Below are 14,187 nucleotides of genomic sequence, written 5' to 3'. Positions count from 1 at the left end.
AATCAGAGAATAATAGTAATAACTAACTTTTATTTTATTTTATTTTATTTTTTTGAGACAGGGTCTTGCTCTGTCTCCTAGGCTGGAGTGCAGTGGTTGTTGGATCACCACTCATTGCAGCCTTGACCTCTGGGGCTCAAGTGGTCCTCCTGTCTCAGCCTCCCTAGTAACTAGGACTACAGGCATGCACTGCCACGTTGGCTATTTTTTTTTTTTTTTTTTAGTTTTTAGTAGAGATGATGTCTCACTGTGTTACACAGGCTGGTCTTGAACTTCTGAGCTCAGGCAATCCTCCAGCCTGGGCCTCCCACAATGCTGGGATTACAGGCATGAGCCACTACACCCGGCCATAGCTAGCATTTATTGAATGCTTGCTGTCTATCAGGCCCTGTGTGTAATGCTTTGCAAACATTGGCACACTGAATTCTCAAAAGTCCTTTGAGGTCGGCGGGTAGGGGGCATAGGATGAGAGCCGAACCTCCCAATGCACCCTGAGCCCCTCCTTAGCCCCACCCCCATCTCGTAGGAATTGAAAATCTTAAAATTTTTCTTTAAATTAAAAAACGACCAAAAAGAAAATAAATAAAAAAATAAAATAAATAAATAGATTGGGCCGGGTGTGGTGGCTCATGCCTGTAGCCTGTAATCCCAGCACTTTAGGAGGCCAAGGCGGGTGGATCACTTGAGTTCAGGAGTTTGAGACCAGCCTGGCCAACATGGTGAAACCCTATCTCTGCTAAAAATACAAAAATTAGGCTGGGCACAGTTGCTCATGCCTGTAATCCCAGCACTTTTGGAGGCTGAGGTGGGTGGATCACTTGAGGTTAGAAGTTGGAGACTAGCCTGGCCAACATGGCAAAACCCCCTTTCTCAAAATACAAAAATTAGCTGGGCATGGTGTTGCGTGCCTGCAGTCCCAGCTACTCAGGAGGCTGAGGCGGGAGAATCGCTTGAATCCAGGAGGCAGAGGTTGCAGTGAGCCAACACTGCAGCACTGCACTCCAGCCTGGGTGACAGAGTGAGACTCCATCTCAAAAATAAATAAATAAAAATAAATAAATAAATAATTAAAATAATACAAAAATTAGCTGGGCATAGTGGTGTGCCTGTAATCCCAGTTACTTGTGAGGCAGAGGTAGGAGAATCGCTTGAACCCGGCGGGGGGAAGAGGTTGCAGTGAGCTGAGATCATGCTGCTGCACTACAGCCTGGGCGACAGAGCGAGACTGTCTCAAAAAACAAAACAAAACAAAACAAAACAAAACAAAAAACAAAACAGGATGAAAACCCATTAGCCTGAAAAAGTTCAAAGTGTTGACTGGCAAGTATTGGCAAGGAGCTGCTCTGAGTGCAAATGGACAAACTACATTGCAGAGCAATTTGGCAGCATCCACGAGACCTTTGGACAAATGGACAGGTCATTTGTCCAGTTACCTCTTTCAGAGCTGTGGCTTGTAAACACTTTTGCTGGACATTAATACAGCTATAGACACCTGAAGCAAAAGTTTCACAGAAGAGCTCTCACTCCGACTATGAGCATGCACTCTAATAGCTTCTATTTAATTCCATTTCATTAAAGGAAAAATTGTTTATAACCCACTAAATTGATTTCACAACCCACTAATGGATCTTGTTTGGCCGTTTGAAAGATACTGCCCTAAGAAACTCCAAGAGACATGTTCAGGGATGTTAATTGCATTCTTGTTGGAAGTGGAGGAAATTGGCAACAAGGTGGGTGTTCACCACCAGCAGCCTGACATAAATTGTGGTGTACTCTCACAATAAACTCTTGCGCAGCAATTAAGGTGAATGAACTGGACACAAATACCAACAGTGTGTGTCATAAACACATAATAATGAGTGGCCTGGGTTGAATCATTCCCCTCCCCACCAAGTTCATGTTCACTGGAATTTATGAATGTGACCCTATATGGAAATAAGGTCTTTGCAAATGTAATCAGATCAGGATAAGTTTCTACTGGATTAGGGTGGGTCCTAAATCTGACTGATATCCTTATGAAAAGGAAATTTGGATACAGTTACAGGTGCACACACACACACACACACACACACACACACACACAACATATGACGATGGCGGCAGAGAGATTGGAGTGATGCATCTATAAGCCAAACAACACCAAAGATTACCAGTGAACACCACAAGCTGGAAGAGGGGTGGTGCTCACGCCTGTAATCCTGTCACTTTGGGAGGCTGATGTGGGAGGATCGGTTGAAGCCAGGAGTTTGAGACCAACCTGGCAACATAGCAAGGCCCTGTCTCTACAAACAAAAACAAAAACAAAACAAAGCAAAACCAAAAAACCAAAAATGGTTGGGTGCAGTGGCTCACGCATGTAATCCCAGCACTTTGGGAGGCCAAGGCAGGCGGATCATGAGCTCAGGAGTTCGAGACCAGCCTGACCAACATGGTGAAACCCCATCTCTATGAAAAATACAAAACTTAGCTGGGTATGGTGGCACGCACCTGTAATCGTAGCTACTCAGGAAGCTGAGGCAGGAGAATCGCTTGAACCCAGGAGTCGGAGGCTGCAGTGAGCCAAGATCATGCCACTGCACTCCAGCCTGGGCGACAGCGCGAGACTCCGTCTGAAAAAGACAAAAACAAAGAACAACAACAACAAAAAAAAACTGGGCATGCTGGGATGCTGCCTGTGGTCCCAGCTACTCGGGAGGCTGAGGTGGGAGGATTGCTGGAGCCCAGGAGTTTGAGGCTTCAGTGAGCTATGATTGTGTTGCTGTACTCCAGCCTGGATGACCCAGTGAGATCTTGTCTAAAAAAGAAAAAAAATCTGCAACTATATGAACTCTTTTCCTAGATTTGACAGGTTTTTTTGTATCCACTTTGCAACTATAATAACTCTTTTTCCAGATTTGACTCAAAGTGGATACAAATGAAGTGAATGACATGAAAAGATGCTCCACAATGTGATCCACTAAGGAAATGAACATCAAAACCACAGTGAATGCTGCTTCACACCCACTACGATGACTGTCATAAACAAGACAGACAATCACAAGTGTTGGCAAGGATATGGAGAAATAATTGGAACCCTCTACGCTGTTGGTGGGAATGTAAAATGGTGCAGCTGCTTTGGAAAACAGTTTGGCAGCTCCCCAAAATGTTAAACACAGGGCTAGAGCATTCCTACGTATATATATATCCCAGAGAATTGGAAGCATATATCTACCCAAAGACTTGTGGAAACAACCTAAATGTCCATCAGTTGAAGAATGGATAATCAAAATGTGGTCTGCTCATACAACGGAAAATTCTTTGGCCATTAAAAGGAATGATTTTTTGTTTGTTTGTTTGTTTTGAGATAGGGTCTTGTGCTGTCTCCCAGAGTGGAGCGCAGTGGCACAATCTCAGCTCACTGCATCTTCGATCTTCCGGGCTCAAGCAATCCTCCTGCCTCAGCCTCCTGAGTAGCTGGGACCACAGGTGCATGTCACTCCCTGCTAATAGGAATGAAGTATCTCAAAAAAAACATAATGCTAAGTGAAAGAAGCCAGTCACTGGCCAGCCTGGGCAGATCACAGCTGTAATCCCAGCACTTTGGGAGGCCAGGGCAGGCAGATCACCTGAGGTCAGGAGTTCGAGACCAGCCTGGGCAACATGGTAAAACCCCCTCTCTACTAAAAAACAAAAATTAGCCAGCCGCAGTGAGATGCGCCTGTAATCCCAGCTACTCGGGAGGCTAAGGCAGGAGAATCTCTTGATCCCGGGAGGTGGAGGTTTCAGTGAGCTGAGATAGTGCCGTTGCACTCCAACTTGGGTGACAGAGCAAGATTCCATCTCAAAAAAAAAAAAAAAGGTGGGGGGGCCGGCCGCAGTAGCTCACGCCTGTAATCCCAGCACTTTGGGAGGCAGAGGCGGGTGGATCACGAGGTCAGGAGAACAAGACCATCCTGGCTAACACGGTGAAACCCCGTGTTACTACGTCTTACCGTGTTACCCACGTCTCTACTAAATATACAAAAAATTAGCCGGGCCTGGTGGCGGGCGCCTGTAGTCCCAGCTAGTCTGGAGGCTGAGGCAGAGAATGGCGTGAACTCGGGAGGCGGAGCTTGCATTGAGCTGAGATCGCGCCACTGCACTCCAGCCTGGGCGACGGTGCGAGACTCCATCTCAAAAAAAAAAAAAAAAAAAAAAAAAAGCTACAAGAGAATAATTGTGATGTTCTAAACACAAAGAAAAGATAAACGAGGTGATGGATATCCCAGTTACCCTGATTTCATCATTGCACATTGTATACATGTATCAAAACATCACATGTACCCCCACAATATGTACAACTATGTTATGTCCAAAAATACAAAAAAGGGAGAGTATGTTATGGGTTGTCTAGAGCTGGAAGGGTGTTGAGGGGAAATAGGGAGTGACTACTAATGGGTATGAGGTTTCTTTTTGGGGTGAACAACTGTTTTAAAATAGAATCTGGTGAGGCAGGCATGGTGGCTCACGCCTGTAATCCCAGCACTTTGGGATGCTGAGGCAGGTGGATTGCTTGAGCTCAGGAGTTCGAGACTAGCCTGGGCAACACAGTGAAACCCTGTCTCTACTAAAGTATAAAAAATTAGCCGGGCATGGCGGCATGCACCTGTAATCCTAGCTACTCGGGAGGCTGAGACAGGAGAATGGCATGAACCTGGGAGGCAGAGGTTGCAGTGAGCTGAGACTGAACCATTGCACTCCAGCCTGGGCGACAGAGCTAGACTCCATCTCAAAAAAAAAAAAAAAAAAAAAAGTCTGGTGATAATTGCACTATTTTGTGAATATACTAAAGTCACTGAATTGTACACTTTTTAAAATTTTATTTTTATTTTTATAGAGACGAGGTCTCTCTGTGTTGCCCAGGCTGGTCTTGAACTCCTGAGTTCAAGTAATTCTCCCACCTCGGCCTCCCAAAGTGGTGGGATTACAGGCATGAGCCACTGCGCCCGGCCAGAATTGTACACTTTAAAGAGGTAAATTGTATGGTATACACATTATATCTCAATAAAACAGTTAGGCTGGATGAAAAAGCCAAATACCGCTCATTCTTACTTGTAAGTGGGAGCTAAACGTTGAGTACTCAGGGACATAAAGATGGCAACAATAGAAACTGGGGACTGCTAAAGTGGGGAGGGAAGAAGGGAGGGGGCAAGGGTTGAAAAACTGTTGGGTACTATGCTCAGTACCTGGGTGACGGGATCAGTCGTACCCCAAACCTCAGCATCATGCAATATACCCAGGTAACAAGCCTGCACATGTACTCCCTGAATCTAAAATGAAAGTTGAAAAAAATAAAACGAAATAAAGCTATTGAATAAAAAGTGGAGACCTGAGGATAGCCACAAGAGGGCGCTCTGAGCACAGAGTTACCACCTCCCTTGGGAACGGAGTTTCTCGGCCACGCCTCAAACTATGGCCATACCTTCGAGGCCCTGGCCACGCCTCTGGGACTGTGGTCCCACCCCCAAGGGCCTAGCCCCACCCCTACACCTTAACCACACCCTCAGGTCCTGGTCACACCCTCAAAGCAGTGTCTGAAGCAGCCCATTCACGCCCCCAGCTCCCCAGACTCTGACCACAAATGCATGCACAGACTTAGAGATACTCGGAAACACAGAACCTTAAACCATAGACTTTTCTTTTCTTTTTTTTTTTTTTTGAGACTGAGTCTCGCTCTGTCGCCCAGGCTGGAGTGCAGTAGCGCGAACTCTAGTCACTGCAACCTCCGCCTCCCGGGTTCAAGCGATTCTCGTGCCTCACGCTCCCGAGTAGCTGGTATTACAGGCGCATCTCACCACACCTGGCTAATTTTTTGTATTTTTAGTAGAGACGGAGTTTCACCATGTTGGCCAGGCTGGTCTCGAACTCCTGACTTCAAGTGATCTGCCCGCCTCGGCCTCCCAAAGTGCTGGGATTACAGGCGAGAGCCACCGCGCCTGGCCAAAATCACAGACTCTTAAACCATGACTTTTACTTTGAAATCATTTGTTTTTCTTTTGAAATTATTTTAAAGTTACAGAGAAGTTGCAAGAATAGTTTCAGACATTACGTCCCTTTGCCTCTAAATGCTTCAGTTGCATTTCCAAGTGTAAGGACGTTCTCTTACACCACCACAGTACAGAGGAGCAGTGTACATTTCTCAGTGACAGTAGTATCCAACAGTGCAGCCTGTATGCAAATTGCCAGCTGTCCCCAAACTATCTGTCATAGCAAAAAGTTTTCATCTCTTCGGTTTCCTTCAGTCTGGTACGGTTCCTTGGCCTTTCTTTGTTTTTCATGGAATTGACATTTTTGAAGATTATAGGCTAGTTCTTTTGGAGAAGGTCTCCTTGATTTGGGTTTGTGTGATGTTTCCTTGTGATTAGATTCTGGTGGCAGGAGTGTTACAGAAGTGATGCTGTGTCCTTCTCTGTACATGATATCAGGAGGCACACGATGCTGGTTGTCCCAAGAATGCTGACAGATTTGGTCGGTTGGTTATGGTGAATCATGGAATCCCAGACCTATCGATTCACCAAGTCAGTCTCTTCCATCCCTGGGCCACAGTTTCCCTTTCTATAAAGTAAAAGTCTGGCTTATGTGAAGGTCTGAAAACACACTTAAAGAACAGATGTGTTCGGCTGCGCGGTGGCTCATGCCTATAATCCCAGCACTTTGGGAGGCCGAGGCGGGCGGATCATGAAGTCAGGAGATCGAGACCATCCTGGCTAACACGGTGAAACCCCATCTCTACTAAAAATATAAAAAATTATCCGGGCGTGGTGGCGGGCGCCTGTAGTCCCAGCTACTTGGGAGGCTGAGGCAGGGGAATGGCATGAACCCAGGAGGCGGAGCTTGCAGTGAGCTGAGATCACGCCACTGCACTCCAGCCTGGGCGACAGAGCGAGACTCCGTCTCAAAAAACAAACAAACAATGAAAAAAAGAAAAGATGTGTTCTGTTTACCTCTCACACTCTTTTTTTTTCTTTTTGTTTTTTGAGACAGTCTCCCTCTGTCGCCCAGGCTGGAGTGCAGTGGCTGAATCACAGCTCACTGCAACCTCTGCCTCTGGGTTCAAGCAATCCTTCTACCTCAGCCTCTCAAGTTGGTGGGTGCCACCATACCTGGCTAATTTTTGTAGAGATGGGATTTTGCCATGTTGCCCAGGCTGGTCTTGAACTCCTGGCCAATCCACTCACCTTGGCCTCCCAAAGTGCTGGGATTACAGGTGTAAGCCACCGTCCCCTGACTCTGTGTGTGTGTGTTTGAGGCAAAGTCTCTCGCTGTCACTCAGGCTGGAGTGCAGTGGCATGGTCACAGCTCACTGCAGCCTCAACCTCCTGGGCTTAAGCGATCCTCCCACCTCAGCCTTCTGAGTATCTGGGACTGCAGGCACGTGCCACCATGTTCGGGGTTAGAGCCGGGGTCTACCCATGTTGCCCAGGATGGTCTTGAACTCCAGGGCTCAGTCTGTCCTCCCACCTCAGCCTCCCAAAGGGTTGGGATTACAGGTGTGAGCCACTGTGCCCGGCCAATGCTCTTAAAGTCACTTTTTGGAATGTCCCAGGCATTTAGAATCTGGCAGATTTCACACACGCATCTAGGAGAGATGTCCTCTGTCTTTCTGGGTTTACTCAATGTGGTGAGGACAAGCGAGTGGAGCCCCGAGAAATGCATTGAAGGTATGACTTCTGGCGTTAGAGCTGTCCCCGGAATGCTGGGACTGTCACCCATGAGGAGCTTTGGAAGTTGAGGGGTGAGTGATTGAATTATTATTATTATTTTTCTGTCACCCAGGCTGGAGTGCAGTGGCACGATCTTGGCTCACTGCAACCTCCCCCTCCCAGGTTCAAGCAATCCTCCCACTTCAGTCTCCCTAGTAGCTGGGACTACAGATGTGTGCCACCATATCCAGCACATTTTTGTATTTTTAGAACAGACGGGGTTTCACCATGTTGGCCAGGCTATGAGTGCTTAATTCTGTGAAGGCTGGGAGGCTGGAGACCCCAAGCAGGACCCTTCCTCCATCTTTGGAGTCTGCCTTTCTCCAGCGGAAGGGGGAAGACTGTGGAAGGACATGTGCCTAGTCCCAAGGTCTAGGAGGCTGAGTGGGGATTTCCATGTGTACAGAGGCCAGATCCCTTGTTTTAGAGAAGTTACTTATAAAGTTCAGTGCTGGGTTCAGCTCTCAAGCCCCGGGACGGTTTCTCATACACGAAAAGCCACATCACCCACAGCCTAGACCCACAAGCACAAGAGGACTTCCAACACACTCCAGACTGATGATGGGCCAGGTCCTGGGCTAAGTGCCTGACACTCACACTCTCATTAAATGCCCAACAACCCATCAACCCCAAGGGGTCGGGGGGATTCCCTTCTTACAGGTGAGGAAACTGAGGCTCAGTGTGGTGAAGTCACTTCACCTTGAGTCATTTAGTCATTTGGTGGCAGAGCCCTGGTTGTGACAGATACATGTGCGGCCCCTCAATAACCATTCTCTCCTCTTCCTTTTGTAGCAGAACCCCTGAATTTTGGCTGGGTACATGCTGCCCAGATAAAACCACATTTCCCAGCCTCTGTTGTGATAGGTGTGGTCATGTGACTAAATTCTGGCCAAATAGGATGTGATGTGTATGATGTGTATGACTTCTGGGTTGTAGCTTTAAAGGTAGGGGCATGCGATTGACTTTTGTTTCTTCTTCCCAGTGGTTGGAATGTGGATGTGATGGTGGGAGCTGGAGCAGCCATTTTGGACCACACAATGGAAGTGTGAGGTGAGGGCAGCAGAACAACCAGGTAGAAGGAGCCTCGATCTCTGACATCCTTGGCTACTATTCTAGATGCGGGTGTTCGCTGGGCCTTTACATGAGAGAAAAATAGACTTTCATCTTATTTAAGCTACTATTGGGTGGACGTGGTAGCTCATGCCTGTAATCCCAGCACTTTGGGAGGCCAAGGTGGGTGATCACCTGAGGTCGGGAGTTCAAGACCAGCCTGACCAACATGGCGAAACTCCATCACTACTAAAAATACAAAAATTAGCCGGGCGTGGTGGCAGGCTCCTGTAATCCCAGCTACTCGGGAGGCTGAGGCAGGAGAATCGCTTGAACCTGGGAGGCAGAGGTTGCAGTGAACTGAGATTTTGCCACTGCACTCCAACCTGGGTGACAGAGCAAGACTCTGTCTCAAAAAAAAAAAAGCTACTATATTTCTTCTTTTATTTATTATATTTTTAAAGACAGGGTCTCACTCTGTCACCCAGGCTGGAGCATAGTGGTGCAGTCATAGGTCACTGTAGCCCTGACCTCTCGGTGTCAAGTGGTCCTCCTACCTCAGCCTCCTGAGTAGCTGGGACTACAGATGCACGCTACCATGCCTGGTTAATTTTTGCGTTTTTTTTTGTAGAGATAGGGTTTCGCCATGTTACCCAGGCTTTTGCCATGTTACTCAGGCTCTTTGTTTTATATATTTTTTAAAGATAGGGTCTCTCTCTGTTGTCTAGGCTGGAGTGCAGTGGTGCAATCATAGCTCATTGCAGCTTCAAACTCCTCTCGGCCTTTTTTTTTTTTTTTTTTGAGATGGAGTCTCCTCTGTCACCCAGGCTGGAGTGCAGTGGTGCGATCTCAGCTCACCGCAAGCTCCGCCTCCCAGGTTCACCCCATTCTCCCGCCTCAGCCTCCCGAGTAGCTGGGACTACAGGTGCCTGCCACCACGCCTCGCTAATTTTGTTTTTGTATTTTTAGTAGAGACGGGGTTTCACCATGTTAGCCAGGATGATCTGGATCTCCTGACCTTGTGATCCGCCTGTCTCGGCCTCCCAAACTTCTGGGATTACAGGCGTGAGCCACTGCACCCTGCCTCAGCCTTTGAATAGCTAGGACCACAGGCACCTAATATAATTTTTTTTTTTTTATTGTAGAGAGAGGATCTTGCTATGTGGCCCAGGCTGATCTCAAACTCCTGGGCTCAAGCAATTCTCCTGCCTTGGCCTCCAAAAGTGCTGGAATTACAGATGCGAGTCACTTCACTCTTTCAAGAGATGGGGTCTCACTACATTGCCCAGGCTGGTCTCAAACTCCTGGGCTCAAGTGATCCTCATGCCTCAGCCTCCCTCCCGAGTAGCTATGACTACAGGTGTGTGCCACCATGCCCAGCTATATTATTTAATTTAATTACAACCGTGGAATAAAAAAAATGTAGCTAAAACACACATCTAGGCTATGACCTCATTGTTCCATTTTTCTACCAGGACAAAGAATAGGTCTCATCGTCTCTACTGTGTTTCCTCTGACCTCAAAACTGTCAAAAATTCTTAGATGATGGCAACAGCAATTCCCATTTATGAAGCTCTTACTCAGCACCATGGCCTGTAATAAGTATTGCACAAAATTTACTTCCCCCCACCTTTTTCCTTTTTTGAGACAAGGTCTCTCTCTGTCACCCAGGCTGGAATGCAGTGGCGCAATCTTGATTCACTGCGGCCTTGACCTCTTAGGCTCAAGTGATCCTGCCACCTCGGCCTCCCCAGTGGGTGGGACTACAGGCGTGCACCACCATACCGGCTAATTTTTGTTTTTTTTTTGGAGAGACAGGGTTTCACCATATTGCCCAGGCTTGTCTTGAACTCCTGGGCTCAATCGATCTGCCCACCTCCAGCTCCCAAAGTGCTAGGATTACAGGCGTGAGCCACTGTGTCCCGTTCATATTTTTTTTTTTTCGGTTTGGACAGGAAGGAGGATTTATTGGTGGGTGTGAGTAAGCAGGGCTCGCCACTATTCCAGGGGCCTATGATTGGGGATGTATCTGATGCCACAGCCATCCAGGATGAGCTACTTCTCAGCCACCGTGTCTTCACATTCATCTGCACTAAACTTGGTAAAGTCCCACCGCCTTGAGATGTGGGTCTTCTGGTGGCCAGGGAGCTTGAACTTGGCCCTGGGTAGGGCCTCAATCACGTGTTCCATGTTCTGCAGCTTGGTGCGGATGGACGTGATGCCTTAGCCAATGTGAACCCTGGCCACCACACCCTGGGGCTTTCCAAAGGCGCCTCGCATACCTGTCTGGAGTCTAGACTGGGGTGAGGTCAAGATCAGAAACATGAACATGCATCGGAAAGGGCTATCTCCAAGGTCTCTTAAGGCCACCGCTACACGCAGCAGGCTGCGTATACTACTGAGGGCACTGCTGTTTGCCGCCACTGCATAGGAGGAGAGGAGCACAATTAGCTTGACTAGTGTTCATGTTTAAACCTTGGAGCAAACCTGCAAGTTGCTCTAAGGATTAAACATAAATATTGGCTGGGTGCGGTGGCTCATGCCTGTAATCCCAGCACTCTGGGAGGCTGAGCCAGGAGGATCTCCTGGGGTCGGGAGTTTGAGACCAGCCTGACCAACATGGTGAAACCCTGTCTCTACTAAAAATACAAAAAATTAACTGGATGTGGTGGCGGGTGCCTGTAGTCCCAGCTACTCGGGAGGCTGAGGCAGGAGAATGGCGTGAACCCGGGAGGTGGAGCTTGTAGTGAGCTGAGATTGCGCCGCTGCACTCCAGCCTGGGCGACAGAGCGAGACTTCATCTCAAATAAATAAATAAATAAATAAAATTAAAAATTAGCTGGGCATGATGATGCATGCCTGTAATTCCAGCTACTTGGGAGGCTGAGGCAGGAGAATTGCTTGAACCTGGGAGACGGAGATTGCAGTGAGCAGAGATTGCACCACTGCACTCCTCCAGCCTGTGCAGCAGAGTGAGACTTAGTAACAACAAAACAAAACAAAACAAAACAAAACAAAACAAAACAAGAGACAGGATCTCCCTCTGGCACCCAGGCTGGAATGCAGTGGCGTGATCATAGTTCACTGCAGCCTTGACATCCCGGGCTAAAGTGATGCTTGAACCTCAGCCTCCTAAGTAGCTGGGACTGCAGGCACACACCACCAGGCTCATGCTCAGCCAACACATTTTTTGATCTTCTGTAGAGACAGCGTCTCACTATGTTGACCAGGAAACATAGAAATAATCTCTCCCTCCCTCCCTCCCTCGCTTGCTTCCTTCCTTCCTTCCTTCCTTCCTTCCTTCCTTCCTTCCTCTCCCTCTTTCCTCCCTTCCCCTCCCCTTCCCTTCCCTTCAAGACAGGGTGTTGCTATGTTGTCTGGGCTGGTCTTGAACTCCTGGCCTCAAGTGATCCTCCCACCTTGCCTTCCCCAAAGTGCTGGAATTGCAAGTGTGAGCCACTGTGCTCAGTGACAAATGTCCTCATAAGAGACAGAGAAGAAGACATGGACACACAAAGGAGAAGATCATGTGAAGACAGAGGCAGAGACTGGACTGATGCAGCCAGAAGCGGAGGAATGCTTGGGGCTACCAGAAGCTGGAAGAGGCAAGGAAGGAGTCTCCCCTACAGTTTTTGGTGAGTGCGGTCCTGCCGACGCCTTGATTTTGGACTTCCGGACTTCAGAACTGTAAAGGAATACATTTCTGTTGTGTTAAGCCACCTAGTTTGTGGCAGTTTGCATGGCAGCAACAGGATTTTTTATTTCTTATTTTTTATTTTTTTGAGACGGACTCTCGCTTTGTCTCCCAGGCTGGAGTGCAGTGACGTGATCTTGGCTCACTGCAACCCCTGCCTCCTGGGTTCAAGCTATTCTCCTGCCTCAGCCTCCTGAGTAGCTGGGATTACAGGTGCACACCACCACACCTGGCTAATTTTTGTATTTTTAGCAGAGACGGGATTTCACCATGTTGGCCAGGCTGGTCTCAAACTCCTGACCTCAAGTGATCTGCCCGCCTCGGCCTCCCAAAGTGCTGGGATTACAGGCATGAGCCATCGTGCCTGGCCAGCAACAGGACATTAACATGCCCTTCAAGCCTGGCAGCTTCAGAGATACCAGAGCACAGGGTCTGGGTCAGAAACACTGAAACATAGTTGCAAACAGAAAGACGCATGGACGTCCCAGTCAGGCGGGCCAGGCACACACAGGTCACCCAGTCAGTGCTCACACAGGCCATCCAGAAGTGCGTGTGCATGAGTGTTTGTGTGCACACACACAGCCCTTCACAGACCCCAGTGATGCCATCCAGGAAGTTGTTAAGGCAGCTGGCCCCACAGATGCAACTACATTACAGAGTGATGGGGATTAAATGTTCACTATCAGCAATTCACATGACGACCCAGAGAAGCCCCCACAGATTAAACAAACAAACAAACCAAAAAACCCCATAAAAAACAAAAAACACTCAGTGCTATGGTTTGAATATTTTTTCCTTCAAAACCTCATGTTGAAATCTGATCCCCTCACTTGAACCCAGGTCGAGGTTGCAGTGAGCTAGGATCTCCTGCTGCACCCCAGCCTGGGTGATAGAGTGAGACTCTGTGTCCAAAAAAATGAAGAAATTTGGGCCTGGCACGGTGGCTCACACCTGTAATCCCAGCACTTTGGGAGGCCGAGGCGGGTGGATCACTTGAGGTCAGGAGTTCAAGACCAGCCTGGCCAACAGGGTGAAACCCCGTCTCTACTAAAAATACAAAAATTAATTGGGCATGGTGGTGCATGCTTGTAATTCCAGCTACTTGGGAGGCTGAGGCTGGAGAATCGCTTGAACCTTGGAGGCAAAGGCTGCAGTGAGCCGAGATTGGGCCTCTGCACTGCAGCCTGGGCGACAGAGTGAGACTCTGTCTCAAAAAAAAAAAAAGAACTTTGATTCCCAAGGTTGGAGGTGGGCCTGATGTGAGGTGTGTTTGGGCCATGGGGGCAGGTCCCTCATGAATAGATTAATGTCCTCCCTGGCGGGTGAATGAGTTCTCCCCATTGACGCCCATGAGAGATGGGTGTTAAAGGGAGGCTGGCACTTCTCTCTCTCTGTCTCTCTCTCGCTTCCCCTCCTGCCACTTGATCCCCACACACGTGTGGTTCCCTCGGCCTTCTGCCATGAGTAGAAGCAGCCTGAAGCCTTCACCACAAGAAGCAGATGCTGACACCATGGTTCTTTTATTTATTTTTTTGAGGCAGGGCCTCACCTGTTGCCCAGGCTGGAGTGCTGTGGTGCGATCATAGCTCACTGCAGCCTCGAACTCACAGACTCAAGCAATCCTCCCACCTCAGTCTTCCGAGTAGCTGGGACTACAGGTGCCTGCCACCATGCCCAGCTAATTTTTTTTTTTTTTTTTTTTTTGTACAGACAGGGTCTCAC

The 14,187-nt window shown here is 48.2% G+C and overlaps 1 pseudogene; it reads right to left on the bottom strand.

Annotated features, from left to right (window-relative positions):
- LOC124900431 (uncharacterized) lies at positions 11,114-11,238 on the bottom strand (annotated as a pseudogene).

The sequence above is a fragment of the Homo sapiens genome, chromosome 19 (genome assembly GCF_000001405.40).
Source record: "Homo sapiens chromosome 19, GRCh38.p14 Primary Assembly".
Classification (NCBI taxonomy): Eukaryota; Metazoa; Chordata; class Mammalia; order Primates; family Hominidae; genus Homo; species Homo sapiens.
Note: the sequence above shows the minus strand (reverse complement) of the source record. Positions and strands in the feature narration are given on the sequence as shown.